The sequence below is a fragment of the Homo sapiens genome, chromosome 2 (assembly GCF_000001405.40).
Source record: "Homo sapiens chromosome 2, GRCh38.p14 Primary Assembly".
NCBI lineage: Eukaryota > Metazoa > Chordata > Mammalia > Primates > Hominidae > Homo > Homo sapiens.
Window position 1 is genome coordinate 206,323,663 of NC_000002.12, and position 17,651 is coordinate 206,341,313.

A 17,651-nucleotide genomic window follows, 5' to 3' on the forward strand; every position below is an offset into this window, starting at 1 on the left:
TATCCACATAGGCTCTGCAGGCAAAGGCTGGAACTACAGCTAACCTGAGTCTTGGCAGAAGCACCTTATTCTCCCAGCACATGACAGAAAGCGAGGCCCGTGATTAGTGGCTCCAAGGCCATCTCTTTGGAGTCTTTCATGGCCTCCTGGGTTCTGGTGAGGTATGAAGTAGTCTGCCTTAGATTACAGCTGCAGACTATAAAACTTCCTACCTTAAGTTTAGAATTAGCTTCTCAGCAATGTGATGTCCCACAGCTCACGTGGCAATCATATGGCCCCCTTTGTTTTGGGTCATCCTTTTTGTTGTATGAGACAAGGATCACAGGGAGCTGGAACTTTTGGCTACCTTCTCTCTAGGTAAGAAATACATTGTCTAAGTCTAAAAAGGGCTCGTGTGTCTCCTCTGATTGAATCTGTCCACCAGGCCTTGGTCTTGGCCCTGCTTGCTGCTCTGTGCTTTATGGGGCCCTGATCCCAGTGTGGGAGGCCTCTCAACCCAGACCTGGGGGGGCCACTCTCTCACCTGGCTGGTCTCCCCTCCTCTGTGGGATTAGCCCACAGACTTTTAAGTCCAGATCCTGGTTCTTAGATAGCTTTTAATTTTCCATACTTTGTTGTAGGGTATGAGTTTTGTTTTGTTGCTTTTTCCCCTAATTTTCAAAGTTGGACAGAAGAAGTTCCTGAGATTCACTGAGGGCCATAGACTTGGTGTGGCAGCTTACTTCTTTTTTCTTTATAATTGGCCTTGAAAAAAAAATTATACATAAATAAAATTATGTATATAATTGACATATATTAAAATTCAAATACCTAACACTGAAGGATTCTGGAAGGGTTAATTTCTCTCATGCTACAACATGAATGAACCTTGAAAACATGATGCTAAGTTAAAGAAACCAGACCAAAAAGCAATATTTTGTATGATTGCATTTCTATGAATGGTTCAGAGCAGGCAAATTCAAGACATAGAGCAGTGATTGCTAGGAAACAGGAAAAGGGAGATGGACAGTGACTGCTAATGGGTTTTTTTGGGGGGTTGATAAAAATATTCTGGAATTAGATAGTGGTAATGGTTGTACAACTTGTAACTACATTAAAAATTACTTATACCATTTAAAAGGGTGAATTTTATATGTAAATTATGTCTGAGTTTTTTAAATTACATAAGATAAATTATAAACTTGGTATATTAGTTTCCATGGCTGCTGTAACAACCAACCATCAACTTGGAACTTGTGGTGTAAAACAACAGAAATTTACCCTCTCACAATTCTGAGGCCAAATATCTGAAATCAAGTTGTCGGCGGGCCTCTTCTCCCTCTGGAAGCTCTATGAGAGAGTCTGTTCCTTGCCTGACAGCTTTGGTGGCTGCTGGCATGCCTCGGCCACATTACTCCAATCTCTGCCTCTGTCCTCACATTGCCTTCTCGTGTGTGTGTGCGTGTGTGTGTGTGTGTGTCCTCTCCCTCTGACTCTGTGGTGTCAATTCCCACACAGCTTTTGGCTTCTTATTATGCAGAAGACAGTTTGTTTTTCCTCCTTCATTGAATTTCATTTAAAAATACTCTCTAATAACTTTCCATTTTAGTCATTCTACCGAAAAAAAATGCAACAGAGATTGTACATATGGTTGTTTCTTCTATTTGTTCATAATAAAAAGCTGAGGCTGATGTTTGCACTGTCATACTGTGAAAGGCAAATCCATTGAGGAATAAAAAGCGATATGCATCTTTTCCATCTTTCTGCTGGTCTTTTTTTTTTTTTTTTTTTTTTTTGAGACTGGGTCTCACTCTGTCGCCCAGGCTGAAATCCAGTGGCGCCATCATAGCTCACTGCAGCCTGGATCTCCCAGGCTCAAGCAATCCTCCCACCTCAGCCTCCCGAGTGACTAGCACTAGGGGTACCCACCACCATGCCTGGCTAATTTTTTTTACTTTTTATAGAGAAGGGGTCTCCTTATGTTGCCCAGGCTCTTCCTGAACTCCTGGACGCAAGTGATCTTCCCGCCTCGGCCTCCCAAAGTGCTGGGATTTCAGGCATGAGCTACCGCATTCAGCCTGGTCTATCTTTTTAATTGTCTGTCTGCCTGTGTGTCTCATTAGAATGTAAGTTTCATGAAGAGAAGAACTTTTTTGTGTTTTAGTTCCTGTTGTATTCCCATTGCGTACCAGAGTATCTAGAATAGAGTAGATACTTCATAAATAATTGTTGAATGAATGAATTAGTGACTTTAGGCCTATTGCAGGTATTGTAGCTAACAGTACAAATTGAGATCCTTAATGAGTACTTCATTGTGTGTTGTTATATAGAAGCCCATTGGTGGGGTGATGGTGAAGTAAGAAATATAAGTTAATTTTATTAGATTGGCTGGTAAGAAAAATCGATCACGTGTCAGTTTAGGCCCTCCAGGAAGGAGACACTGGGATGGGTTAGACATGCAAGAGCTGTATTGTGAAAGACACCTGTCAAAACTGCCTGGGAACTAGAAAGAAGGAGGAACGAGAGGAGGCAGAGGAAGTCTTCAGATGCAGTGCAAGTCTGATGCCTATGAAAGGAGATGGGGGAAAGAAAGAGGGTTGTGTGGGAAGAGCCACAGACTATGGTGCCTGTCTGAGAAAGTCTCAGCCAGCCCACCAGAAAGCTCCGGTATAAAGATTTCCCATAGATGAGTTCCATCTCGGGCAGCAATGGCTCAGTCATTAGCTGGGGGCTATCCAGGAGGATCATGGGCTGAGCCCTTATACTTCAAGTTCTTGAAGGGAGATCCACGAGGTGCACTTCGTGGTTACCACAGTCCTCCGATGCCAAGCAGATCCACTTCTCCACACACATATCGGGAGCAGCTTCTTCAGGGTTTGCTACAGTGTTGCCCCTCAGCTTGGGTCTTGGCAGGTCATCTCACCAGCCAGCCAGCTCTAGCAGCCTGGTTGCATTTTGGATGGCATTGTGTCTGGTATGACCAGAGGATCCCATGGTCATGGACCCACTACTCTACTTCCTTTGCTATAAAGTAGGTTGGACGCTATGTTGTGCGTGATTTCATGCCTGCAGATTAGCTTCTGTAAGCCCCCAGATCATGGTGCTGGCAGGAAAGGTGTAGGCAGGAAAGACAAGCCCTTATTTGAAGTAAGTGTTTATTCCTGAGAGAACAAATCAATGGTCCTTCCATGACATAAGAGGTCCAATGTAGTCAGTTTGGCCAGAAATGGCTAGTTGGTCCCCTCGAGGAACAGTGCCATCTCATGGGTTCAATATTGGTGTCTATTGTTGGCAGATTAGACATTCAGTGATAACAGTACCTAGATGAGCGCTGGCGAGTAAATGCTGTTGTCTATGCTGTTGGGTCCATATGTTTCCCCATCTTTGCCAGGGTAACTACTCCATTTGCATGCCAGTCGTTTCAGTTGTATTTTATTTTATTTTTTGAGATGGAGTCTCACTTTGTCACTCAGGCTAGAGTGCAGTGGCCTGATCTTGGCTCACTGCAACCTCCACCTCTGGGTTCAAGTGATTCCCCTGCCTCAGCTTCCTGATGAGCTGGGACTACAGGCATGTGCCACCATGCCTGGCTAATTTTTGTACTTTTAGTAGAGATGGGATTTCACCTTGTTAGTCAGGCTGTTCTCGAACTTCTGACCTCAGGTGATCTGCCTACCTTGGCCTCCCAAAGTGCTGGGATTACAGGCGTGAACCACCGCACCCAGCCCTTTCCAGTTCTTAAGTGATGGATAATGAAGGCTGGCTAATGTCAACTGGCTGAGCCATTTTATCTACTTGGTTGCTTGTTGCCTCTTCTCTGGTACATGCTTTCTGGTGGGCATTAATGTGTGATACAACAATTTACACTTTGTGCTCATCTCCATACGTCCACCCACTTGCCCCTACTCCAGAATTCTTTGCATCAGTCTCTCAGAATTTGCTTTCTAGGCCCTTGACCAGCCTCCTGCGCCATTAATTACTGCCCATGATTCCATATGTATTCTTATGTCAGATCACCTCTCTTTCCACACAAAGTGAATGACCAAGTGTACCTGGTGAAGCTTCTGTCATTGGAAAGATTGTCTCTCCCTACTCTTTTTCAAGGGCAGTCCTGAAGGGGATTGTAAAGCAGCCTCATTTATTTTCAGCTTTTACACACAAACAGAGCCAACACATTTACAAATGAAGCTCAGGCTGTCTCTTCTGACTTCAGCTGGTCATGTGGGACCCTCTGTATGACCAGTAGGTATAAGCTAAAGAAGGAAGTGGGAGCCTGCGCTACCGCCTCAGGCAGGTCACACGTGCTACTTGTTCTGCCTGGGCTGATCCCAGGTGTACCCTTTTCTATCCTTATGGCGGACTTCTGCTGGGCAGTTTTCTACCACCACCTGGCCTGTACTATTTCAGGGACTCATTGTCACCACTGCTATTAGCAAGCTACTCTCTGAGATTGCTTCTCCTTTTGTCAGCCCTGGACTGTGGAAGAGGATCACCACTGAATTCCTTAGTGATGCTGGTACTTCTCTAACCACTGCATTTCTGATGGCCTCTGTGAATGAGGTGTCTTCTAGGTTCTCCTATGAAGCATAATCCTCTGATTGGTCTTCTGGCCCTACATAATACATACATTCCACCATGCCTATTTCCCTGCATTGTCATTATTTCGCCCCTGCTTGTTATAGCAATTCATGCATTGCAAGTCCACTCAGCATGGGCCATCACTTTCTCCAGGTTTTTAAAACCACTCTTAGGCCAGGTGTGATGGCTCACGCCTGTAATCCCAGCACTTTGGGAGGCCAAGGCGGGTGGATCACCTGAGGTCAGGAGTTCGAGACCAGCCTGGCCAATATGGTGAAAATTAGCTGGGCATGGTGGTGCATGCCTGTTATCCCAGATACTCAGGAGGCTGAGGCAGAAGAATCTCTTGAACCCGGGAGGCAGAGATTGCAGTGAGTCGAGATTGCACCATTGCACTCCAGCCTGGGCGACTAAAGTGAAACTCCATCTCAAAAAATAAAATAAAACCACCGTTTCAGTTAGTTTGTCCCATTCCCTTGCTAGGGTGTTAAGTCCCATGTTCTGAGAAAGTGCTCCTAAGTCAATAAACTCTTAAACAAACAGCAGTTGATCAGGCATACTCAAAATCCAATTCAATGGTTTCTGCTAGTATATCCTAGCTAATCCTTGCAGCTCCTTTAGGATGTAATATGTCTTATCATTGCCAGTATGTGCCAGTTGTTTTAGTTGAGATTTAACCCTAGTTATCAATCTGGAAGCCAGGTGAGAAGTGGGGTCAGCTTCTGAAGGGAGATCAGTTGTCTTGCAGGGGAGGGGTCTTTTCACATAGGGGAAATGCTAACTCAAAATAGGGCCTCGTGGAAGAATCACTAACTCTTAATAGGGAGGGGTAGGGAACCTCAGCAGGTTCTGAGAGCCAAAGTCTTTGAGGATTCATTCACATCCCATGATTCAGGGTCCCATAGTTTCTAAACAAAGCCCTGATCTTAGCATAACAGACTTGCCTTGGCTGAGTTTTCATTGTCTTTGAAGTTTGGCTACCCTGAATTTGCTCCACAGCTGTGTCTGTTCTCTCACTGCAGGAGATAAAGGCCTCTTTGTAAGCTGCCAGAGAGGTCCTTTGGCTCTCATACTTAGTTTTTAAATGTTTGTTAACTGCCTTCAATTTCTCATTGTCCTATTGTATGGCATCAATACAAATTAATAACAACCAGCCAATTCCATTGTCCTTGTATGCATCGTCCACCCTCAACTGCCTGAATTATTGCACTGGCCAGAGAAGTTGCCTCCACCGGAATACTGTCCTGAGTCACCATTGGTAAAAGTTTAGCAAACAGACCTCTACCTTCTACCAGAGACTAGTCATGCCACTGGGGCATGGGGTCATCATTTCTAGTGAGGAAGTGAGTTACCTAATCCCCGAGGTCCATCTTGCTATCTGCTGTCTGGGACCACTCTCAGTTATCAATGATTAAGTCTGGTTTCTCTAAGGGAGAAGATGCCAAGTCCAAGTTGGCAATGCAAGAGATTCATGAGAGTAACCTGGTGAAATATAAAAGGGAGAAGAAATAAGAATAGGCAGGTAAGGAGAAGGAGAAGAGAGGTAGATTAAGGAGGAAGAGCTAAATCTCAGCCAAGCCAATGGGGAGCTCTGGCGTAAAGACTGCCAGGAGATGAATTCCATGCTGGGTGAATGACTAGCTTCTCATATATCTGCCAGACTCAGTTACTGGCTTGGGACTGCTTGAGAAGAATGCGGCTTCAGCTCAAATGATGTGGCATATCCTGAAGGTGATATAGCTGGAGGCTGCCATCTAATATACAGCTTCATGCTGATTGGCAAGTTCGTTTTTTGTTTTTGTTGTTTTTTTCCTTTTTTATTTTACTTTAAGTTTTGGGATACGTGTACAGATTGTGCAGGTTTGTAACATAGATACACATGTGCCATGGTGGTTTGTTGCACCTATCAGTCATCTAGGTTTTAAGCTCCGCATGCATTAAGTATTTGTCCTAATGCTCTCCCCTACCTTGCCCCCAACCCCCCGACAAGCCCCAGTATGTGATGTTCCCCTCCCTGTGTCCGTGTGTTCTCATTGTTCAACTCCCACTTGTGAGTGAGAGGCAAGTTATTTCTTGAAGGAAAATCCAAGTGGCACGCATGGATGGCTGCCATACCACATCAGTTATTTATCTCTAAACCCAGGTGTGGTAGGTTGATAATGACTCTCAAAGATATGTCCACCTCAGAATCACTAGAACCTGTGAATATTTGGAAAATGGGTCTTTGCAGATATGATTCAGTTGAGGACCTTGAGATGAGATGATCTTGATGGTCCCTAAATGCTACAAGTGTCTTTACTAGAAAGAGGCAGAGGCGGCCAGGTGCGGTGGCTCATGCCTGTAATCCCAGAACTTCGGGAGGCTGAGGCGGGCGGATCACGAGGTCAGGAGATGGAGACCATCCTGGCTAACACGGTGAAACCCCGTCTCTACTAAAAATACGAAAAATTAGCTGGGCGTGGTGGCGGGCGCCTGTGGTCCCAGCTACTCGGGAGGCTGAGGCAGGAGAATGGCGTGAACCCGGGAGGCGGAGCTTGCAGTGAGCCGAGATCGCGCCACTGCACTCCAGCCTGGGCGACAGAGCAAGACTCCGTCTCAAAAAAAAAAAAAAGAAAAAGAAAAAGAAAGAGGCAGAGACAAAGGGGACACACACACACACACACACACACACGCACGCACGCACGCACGCACGCACAAGAAGGCAATGTGAGGACAGAGGCAGAGATTGGAGTAATGTGACTAAGGAATGCCAGCAGCCACCAAAGCTGTCAGGCAAGGAATAGAATCTCTCATAGAGCTTCCAGAGGGAGTGGAGCTCTGCTGACACCTCGATTTCAGACTTTTGGCCTCAGAACTGTGAGAGAATACATTTCTGTTGTTTTAAGCCACAGGTTACACCTTTATAGTTGTTTGTTACAGCAGCCATGGAAACTAGTACACCGAGTTTATAATTTATTTTATGTAATTTTAAAAGCTCAGACATTATTTACATATTATAAAATTCACCACTTTAAAGTGTATAATTGATTTTTAATGTAGTCACAAGTTGTACAACCATTACCACTATCTAATTCCAGAACATTTTCATCATCCCTAAAAGAAACCCCATCCCCCACAGCAGTCGCTCAGCATCTCCTCTCACTCTGCTTCCTAGCAATCACAAGTCCATGTTAAGTCTCTATGAATTTGCCTGTTCTGACCTTTCATATAAAGGCAATTTGCTGGGTGCGGTGGCTCATGCCTGTAATCCCAGCACTTTGGGAGGCTGAGGCAGGTGGATCACCTGAGGTCAGGAGTTTGAGACCAGCCTGACCAATGTGGTGAAACCCCATCTCTACTAAAAATACAAAAATAGCCAGGTGTGGTGGTGGGCACCTTTAATCCCAGCTACTAGGAAGGCTGAGGCAGGAGAATCACTTGAATCTGGGAGGTGGAGGTTGCAGTGAGCCAAAATTGCACCACTGCACTCCAGCCTGAGCAACAGAGTGAGATTCCATCTCGACAGATAAATAAATAAATAAAAGCAATCATAAAATATGTTGCTCTTTGGCCCAGTTTCTTTCACGTATCATTATGTTCTCAAGGTTCATCCATGAATGTTGTGGCATGAATCAGTACTTCATTCTTTTTCATGGTCAAATAATATTGCAATGTGCAGCTATACCCCCTTTGGTTTGTCCATCAGTGATGGACTTTTGGGTATAATTTCTTGAAATCAAATTTCTATAGGTAAAAAATTTTTATTTGAACAATGTGTTACCCAGATGTCAATTTGAATCATTGTTCCTCTTAATATTTTGAATAGATCTCAATTCTGAATCTGGTAGAAAGTCCAAAATGCCCTCAATATATTTCCAGCAAGTCCAAGTCTGTTCTGCCTGTGAGTAGTAAATCAATCACTGTGACATGAGTTTTACAAAAGAGAAAAGACTTATTTGCAAGGGCACTGATTGAAGAGACAGGAGAACAGCTCTCAAATCCACCTCCCCAAATATAAGGCTTAGGGATGTTTATGCATTAGGGAAGTGGGTGGTCTAAGGTGTGGAGAAAGGTGATTGGTAGTGGGGAAAAATGAAGCAACAGGTTTATTCTGTACAAATGTAGCTGAAGTTCATGGCATTTTGTAGGACATATGTACAGAAAATGGTGGTGTTACCATAATCTAAGGGTGAAGTTTTCGGCCTTCTGATGTCAAAAAACCACCCCTCAGGCACTTGCACAGGCCCAGTTGAGGGGCTGGTGGTCTCCACTAGTTTGAACTGGACAGGAGCTGGCCCAAGTTTCTGAAAAACAGCTGAAGCGGCCATTCCTATGGTGATCTATGAATGTTACCTCTAAAGTAGCCAGTGAAGGTTAAGTTTTGACATTCAGTGGCAAGGCCTCCAGCTTCGTGGAAAAAGAAAACAAAAAACAAACAAAAAAACACCCAAAACACAAAAAGCAAGTGAACACAAGCAAGAAGGGCAGGCAGACCTGATCAAATTGACCTCTTGGTTTCCAGTGTTTTTATAGATCCTTGAGTTGGGAGAGCAAGGAAGGCTTAAATTATCACAATCACCTCTGGTTCCTATATTTTGCGTTCACTGAATTCTTGTTGTTTGTTCTGAATATTGAGGCTGATTCTTTATCTTGGCATTGGAATGTTCCTAAACTTGGAACTCAGCTCCTTTCCTCTTCCCCTATATCAGTTCTGACTTTTGTTGCAAATGGCAAAAAACAGACTCAAACTGGCTTGGGCAAAATAAGTACATTAGCATCTCAAGTAGAAGTTCTCAAGCTTTCTGAGCTCAGGATGTCTCACACTCTTCAAAATTACTAAGGATCCCAAAGAACTTTTGGGTTACATCTATTGATATGTATTGCATTAGAAATTAAAACTAAGAAAGGTTTAACATTTTTACTTATTAATTCAATTAAAAACAGCAACAATAATCCTAGTATATGCTAACACAAATAACACATTTTAAATAAAAGAGAATTATATTTTCCAAAACAAAAAATTAGTGGGAAGAGTGACATTGTTTGACATTAAAAAAAAATTCTAGTGTTCGATTTAATAGAAGACTGTTGGATTCTTATATCTTCCTCTGCATTCAATCTGTTGTAAAATGTGGCTTCTATATAACTATAAAGAAAATTTGGCTTCATAGAGATATAAATTAGAATGAACAAGGAGTATTTTAATAGCTTGTCAGATAATTATTGATCTTGTTCTTTGAAATTTCACCAAAATTTGGTAAGTGGTAGTTTCTTAAAGATTAGTTGCAATGTGGAATGTAAAACCATACCAGTGATCTTTTTTTTTTTTTTTTTTTTTTGAGATGCAGTCTTGCTCTGCTGCCCAGGCTAGAGTGCAGTGGTGTGATCTCGTCTCACTGTAACCTCCACCTTCCAGGTTCAAGCAATTCTCCTGCCTCAGCCTCCCGAGTAGCCAGGATTATGGGTGCTCGCCACCATGCCCAGCTAATTTTTGTCTTTTTAGTAAAGATGGGGTTTCACCATGTTGGCCCGGCTGGTCTCGAACTCCTGACCTCAGGTGATCCACCTGCCTCGGCCTCCCAAAGTGCTGGGATTACAGGCATGAGCCACTGCACCTGGCCCCATGCTAGTGATCTTTTTATACTTTCTTACATTCAAATCCATTGGTCTAATTTGCACTTTGAATGGATCTTTTACCCATGCATGATTTTGTAACATTATGCATTAGTTGTCTGGAAAGTACCCTTTCCCTGAGTTGTGCAGATCTTTCAAATGTTGGCACATTTCATTATACAATATCAAAAAAGCACATTTGTTATATTATTACCAATTTAATCATAAAAGTCTTTAAGTATGGGTAAACTGTTATGTACTTAGTGTCGGATACAAGTTTTCCAAAATCTTAGTGTTTACTTTAAAGCCAGCATTTTATCATTAGTAACAAAATTGTCAGCTGTTTTCCTTGAAGTTGAAGTCTCACTGTGTTCATTTTCAATAAAATGTCTGCCAAATACCCAAATCTGAATTAGCATTGTGCCTGTCAGTTGTTCTTTCTAGTAAAAATAGTGTTATGTGAAAAAGCAGCTAGTTCAGCTCGCGAATCAACTGCACAAATGCTCTTCCTAGAGACAAAACTATTTTATTTTAGCATGCAGTAGAAGTTCCTTCTGCGTATTTTCCATTTCATCTTACAGAATATTTTAAAAGACATGTTCCCAACAGTTCAGATTTAACAAAATTAACAATTTTTTTTTTGCTTTTATCAAGGGCACTATTAAGTGAAACTGACCTTTTCCCCCTCCAGTAAGTACATGTTGGTAAAGAATATGAGGACCACTAGCATAGTTTGGTGCCACTATCTTGAGATGTACTGAGGGGCAGCAGTTTTATTCGCTATTGCTTTGTGATATCAATAGAAGTGTTAACATGGTGGGAGGCGGAAGCAGAACCCCCAAATTATGTCTTAGTAATATTATAAAATTAATTTTTTATCTCATGGACTCCCTGAAAGGGTCTTCCAGATTCCCAACAGTCCACAGGTCATCCTTTGAGAGCTGCTGACTTGCAGCATGTTGTTCTCCTAGGAGCTTAAGCCTTCATCATCTCAGTCAAGGAACCCTGAGGAGGTTGGGAGCTGCAAACATCACAATTTTTCATTGAAATTAGGCTTGGACAAAGAGTATTTGAATTGTTTAATCTACCAATTATCTGTTTATCATGTGGCTTGTTTACTTATTTACTTATATCACTTAGTTCATATGGTTTATCTTACAAGCTAGAGCAACAAATTCATCAGTGGAATTTTATAAATATTTTATAGTTGGTAAGAAATAGGTTGATGAGATAAAACATAATCTTTCAGCTTGAAAAATGAAGTTATTCAGCTTCTATAGAACTGTAGAAGTTCCAAGGATATAAGTCACCTATAAGAACAGAGAAAAAGGCAGAAATCAATTATGGTATTTCATACTGGGAAAGTGCATTTTCACATTCCAAAATTAATCATTATTATATTGGAATCTAAAAGGAGAGCATTTTCAATATGAATTCTGTTTCTATTACTTGCTATTGGAAATGGGTAACATTTATTGATAAGCAACTATATATATATATATATATATAACTATATAATTTTTTTTTTTTTGAGAGGGAGTCTTGCTCTGTTGCCCAGGCTGGAGTGTAGTGGTGTGATCTCATCTCAGTGCAACCTCCGGCTCCCGGGTTCAAGCCATTCTCCTGCCTCAGCCTCCTAAGTAGCTGGGATTACAGGTGCATGCCACCACGCCTGACTAATTTTTAATTTTTAGTAGAGACGGGATTTCACCATGTTGGTCAGGGTGGTCTCGAACTCCTGATCTCGTCATCCACCTGTGTCGGCCTCCCAAAGTGCTGGGATTACAGATGTGAGCCACCGCGCCTGGCGAAGTTCTATATTTTTTAAGGACACATTTTGATTGAGGCCAGTTTCAGTTTAAGCAAGAACAAGATTAAGAAGTTGTTATGTGAGTGGAGAGTTATACTAAAAAGGTTTTTAAAATCGTCATGAGGATATGCAAAAAGAGAATTCCAGTGTGTCTTCAGGTGATAGTGAAGGACTCGCTTTATGTGTTAGTAGTAGCCAGTGAGAAAAAATAGATATCCATAGATACTACTGCTTTGAGGGAACCAAGATATGCAGTTGTCTTGCTGTGAAGAATAATTGGGAAGTTTGATCAAATCTCTGCTAAGAAAAAGTGCTATGATCCTAAGAACTTAAAAGCTTCTTGTCAGGGAAGTTATCTGATGCAGTGACCTTCAACATGGTGACACATCTTGCTTGTTCAGACAACACTTTTTAAAAATAAATTTGAGGGTCTGCTCTATTCAAAGCACAGAATAATTGCTCTGAGAAAAAATTGTAAATACGTGTCAAATCTGTGTGTTGGAATTAACCAAAAGCTTAACAGTAGTTTAGCAACATAGTGATAATGATACAAGAAAATGGAAACATGGCACAAGATTGGATGCACATATATACAGTCCTCCATCCCTTATTCATCTACTTTCATTCTGACCAACTTGCGCTTTATCCTTTCCTAGTCTTTAATCCTCTGAGTGAGTCCCAGGCATTACCCTCCTGCTTCCTTCTCTCTTCATTCATTTATTCAGCAAATATTTATTGATCATTGCTTATGTGCCAGGCTCCCTGCTAAGCACAAAAGATACAGCCACGCACAAGGCACATAGGTCCATTTGACACTTGCAGTCTCGTTGAGAAGACAAAAATTAAACAAATAATGACATAACCAATACTTACAGCGTGATAAGTCCTACCCAGGAAAAATAGAGAGGGCCACGAAAATGTAAAGCAGATCTGACCTAGACTTGTGGGTTTGGACTGAGAGTCAGCCCTGTGTACAGGTCAGATAGCCAGAGTCATAAGGCCAGTAACTAATTTTGTAAGCCCAAGGGACTAGGGGACATATAAAGCTACAGTAGGGTGACCAATCGGACTAGGGGCTTCCAGGGCCATGGGACTATTAGTGCTAAAATTAGGGAGGTCCTGGGTAAACTGATATGAGTTGATCACCTAGGACTATATTCATCCCAGAAAATTTTTTATACAGTGACAGGCTCTAAGCACCTTTGAAACTGATGAATTTTAAAGAGGCACCTGGTAGTGATACAGAATTTCCCCACCTTGCCATATAAAGGGATTGGTTGTGAAATGTATGAACTGGATCACAGGAGGTGATACCCAAGGGCAGGTCTCTGCCACTGCAGAACATTGTTCAGTGTGGCATTGGAGATTCCTGGCGGCCCCAAGCCCATTCATTCAGACTGCTTCATTTACAGAGGGAGCGGTGATTAAGTGGCTTTACTATGGTCAACATCACTAGTTGACAATAGAAGTGATGCAGGTCTGGTTTCCCTGGAAACAGACTCTGAGATGGAGATTCTATTGCAAATGATTTATTAAGGCTTGTTCTTGGGAGTGAGGGAAGCAGGATTGGGCAGAGAAATTGAACTCTGATGCAGCCTTAGCCTGGCAGCTAAAGGTGGAGGAATCTTCAGAGATGTGCAGATAAAGATGAGGGGGCTGAGCCCCCCAGTCATTGCATGCAGGCTGACTCCTGGGAGAGGCATAACCTTTTGGCTGAGGTCCCTTTTATTCAGCTGAGGCCATGAGTACTTAGTCTTGAAGAGAGGACCTGGGTGGCACACAATCTCACACACTAGGTCTTCCAATTTCAGGTCAATGTTTCCATTTTATCGTGTGTCGACATTTACCAAGAATTGCCCAGAGACATCTTTCAGCTCTTGATTTAACATATAGTTAAATAAATGTCCTGGCTTCAGAAAGATACTGATCAATAATGTAAAATCATAAAGCTGTTAATAATGAATTAATCTGTAGATAAAATGGGATATAATTGCTGTATAATGCTTTCACTGAAAAGACACCGATTATTTCAGGTGGAAGCTGACTTACAATATAAACTATGATATGCCTATGACCAAAGAACCAGACATTTCTAGAATGCCAGCATTTGCCAAGATAAAATGTGAGATGACATTTCTCTGATAGCTTAGAAAGTATTTCATGGACCTCTGAGAAGTTTCAACACAAAGTTAACAGAGTTGTTAAAATATATCTAAAAACATAATTTTCAAATATTTACATTAATCAATTATTTTAAAAAACTGTCAGTGAAGCCAAGATTTCAGACCTTGATTTAATAGACTTTGGGCTTTTCCTCAATATTAACATAGTGTCATATAAAAGCATAACCAAAAGTCTATATTTCATCATATAAAATTAGTACTTCTGGGATTGAGTCAGTTATAAACAAAAAATAGATAATCACATTTTTGCCTCTAAATCTGATATGATGAAATTGCAGAATAACAGCCTTCAACGCAGGCTGCATATTAGAATTGCCAAAGGAACATAAGAAAATGCTCAGGCCCCACTCATTCTAGATATTTTGAGTTAGAATATTGATGTGGGTCCCAGAGTTTGGATTTTAGCCAAGCTCCCAAAATAATTCCCAAACAGCTAGCCAGGCACTAGTCTAGTGTCCTCATTTACTTTTGTGAACTGCTGGCATAGAGTACAGCTTCTTTTCCAGGGCCATGCTTTGTTGTAGTTGCCTTTTTTAAAAAAAAAAAGTGGTAAAATATGCATAACATAAAATTTACTGGCCAGGCATGGTGGCTCATGCCTATAATCCCAGCACTTTGGGAGGCCGAGGCAGCAGGACTGCTTGAGCCCAAGGGCTTGAGACCAGCCTGGACAACATGGCAAAACTCTGTTTCTACAGAAAATTAGCTGGGCATGGTGGTGCACGCCTGTGGTCCCAGCTACTCAGGAGGCTGAGGTATGTGGGTTGCTTAAGCCTGGAGGCTGGAGATCAAGGCTGCAATGAGCCGTGATTGTGCCACTGCACTCCAGTCCGGGTGACAGAGCAAGACCCCATCTCACCCCCCAAAAATCTATATATCTATACCATTTGAACCATTTTTAAGTTTACAGTTCAGTAGCATTAAGTACATTCCGTACATAACTACATTGTTGCATAGCCATCACCACTATCCATCACCAAAACTTTATCGTCTTCCCTAACTGAAAATTTGTACCCATTAAACAATCATTCTCCATTCTCTGCCTCTTCCCAGGATCTAGTAATCACCATTCTATTTTCTTTGTGCATTTGACTTTCCAAGTTTCCTTATATAAGTGGTACTATACAGCATTTGTCCCTCTGGGACTGGCTTATTTCACTTAGCATAACATCCTGAAGTTTCGTCTATGTTGTAGCATGTCTCAGAATTTCCTTCCTTGTTAAGGCTGAATACTATGCCTTCTCATCACATTGTAGATGGACACTTTTCTTGCCTCCACCTTTTGGCTATTGTGAATAATACTGTGACAAACATAGGAATATAAATATCTGTTCAAGTCCCTGCTTTCCTCTCTCCTGGGTACATACCAGAAGTGGAGTTGCTTGATCAGATGGTAATTCCATTTTTAATTTTTAAAGAAATTAACACAGCATTTCTCACAGCAGCTCCACCATTTTATCCACCAACAATGCACAGGGTTCCAATTTCTCCATATCCTCACCTATGATAACCATTTTGTTTTTTAAAAAATAGTAGCCATCCTAAACGATATGAGGTATCTCACTGTGGTTTTGATTTACATTTCCCTAATGATTAGTGATGTTGAACATCCTTTTTGTGCTTGTTGGCCATTTGTATATCTTCTTTGGAGAAATATCCATTCAAACCCTTCACTCATTTTAAAAAGCACGGTTTTTTGTTGTTGTTGAGTTGCAGGGGTTCTTCATTTATTATGGATATCAACTCCTTATCAGATATGTCAGTTGCAGATATTTCCTCTTATTCTGTGGTTTGCCTTTTAACTCTGTTAATCATGTCCTTTGATGCACAGAAGTTTTATATGTACAGTCCAACTTAATCTGGTTTTGTTGTTGTTGCCTGAATTTTTGTCATCATATCCAAGAAATCATTTCCAAAATCAATGACACAAAATTTTCTTCTATGAGTTTTATAACTTTAGCTCTTACATTTAAGTCTTTGATCTAGTTTGAGATAATTTTTACATATGGTCTAAAGTAAGAGTCCAACTTCATTTTTTTTTTAATTTTTGCATGTGAATATCTGGTTTTCCCAGCAGCATTTAGTTGAAAAGACTGTCTTTTCCCCATTGAATGATCTTGGCATCCTTGTTGAAAATCATTTGACTATATATGCAAGGGTTTATTTCTGGGATCTCTTTTCTATTCCATTGGTCTATATGTCTATCTTTATGCTAGTACCACACTGCTTTGCTTACTGTAGTTTTGTAGTAAGTTCTGAAATCAGAAAGTGTGAGATCTCAAACTTTGTTTTTCTTTTTAAAGATTTGTTTTGGTTATTTGTGACCTCTTGAGATTCCATGTATGAAATTGACTTAACAATTGCTTCTTTTAAAAATGATTTTAGATGAAATATATTACATATAAAGAAAAGTACAGGCCAGGCTCACACCTGTAGTCCCAGCACTTTGGGAGGCCAAGGTGGGCAGATTGCTTGAGCTCAGGAGTTTGAGACCAGCCTGGGCAACATGGCGAAACCCCATCTCTACAAAAAAATACAAAAATTTGCCAAGCATCATGGTGCATGCCTGTAGTCCCAGCTACTCAGGAGGCTGAGATGGGAGAATCACTTTTAGCTCGAGAGGTCGAGGCTGCAGTGAACCATGATTGTGCCACTGCACTCTAGCCAAGGCGACAGAGCAAGAACCTATCTCAAAAAAGGGGGGAGAGGGAGACAGACAGAGAGAGAGAGAGAAAGTACATGAAGCGAAAATGAATTATCAGTCAATTGTAACACAGTAAATACCTAGATAACTATGACTTGGTTCAATAAATAGAACATTGCCAGGACACCAGAAGCCCCTTTTGTCTCATCCCAATTTACATTTCTTTACCCGCACCCCCCGCCCAAATTTGACCTTCTAATGCTATAGTTTAGTTTTGCCCATTTCTGAAGTTTATATTAATGGAATTGTACAGTTGTACTCTTTTTATTTCTGGCTTCTTTTGTACATTTGTTTGTGGGAGTCATCTATGTTTTTACATATAGTTGTAGTTTCTTCATTTTCATTCCTGCAAGATTTGATTATTCACAAACAGTCTTACCTTTAATTTTTAAAAGAGCTAGGAGGACTGGGAACCTGTTTTACTTATCTCTGTCAGGAGTCACATATTTAACAATATGCATACTATTTTGTCTTAGTCATTTGCAGACCAGCCAGGATCTGTAGGCTTTACAAATGCATAAAGTTATCTTGGACAACTGGGAAAGATTCAGTAGTGCTCTGTAGAAGGATATCTAGGCAGTAGGCAACAAGGTGGTCTGGTAGTAGGTACTAGGCAGAAGTACTAATATTTACATTTTTCCAGAGACTTTTTGGAGAATGATATAATTTAATGGAAGGGTTATTATAGTGAGAATGTCAGACCCTATGTCAAGCTGGAAATGCAAACATTTAGGGGCAAATGGACCTTCCAGTATCTTTAAAATCACAGCATATAGATAAATGACTGCTAATTTTGCATTTATAA

At 41.3% G+C, this 17,651-nt stretch overlaps 2 annotated features.

Moving 5' to 3' along the window:
- Nucleotides 4,612-5,602: an enhancer, noted in NCBI's record as "OCT4-NANOG-H3K27ac hESC enhancer chr2:207192998-207193988 (GRCh37/hg19 assembly coordinates)". NCBI's record gives its function as "activates a minimal SCP1, AML or CMV promoter by ChIP-STARR-seq in primed H9 embryonic stem cells {active_cell/tissue: H9 hESC(primed)}" and the evidence as "EXISTENCE:reporter gene assay evidence [ECO:0000049][PMID:30033119]".
- Nucleotides 5,603-6,592: an enhancer, noted in NCBI's record as "OCT4-NANOG-H3K27ac hESC enhancer chr2:207193989-207194978 (GRCh37/hg19 assembly coordinates)". NCBI's record gives its function as "activates a minimal SCP1, AML or CMV promoter by ChIP-STARR-seq in primed H9 embryonic stem cells {active_cell/tissue: H9 hESC(primed)}" and the evidence as "EXISTENCE:reporter gene assay evidence [ECO:0000049][PMID:30033119]".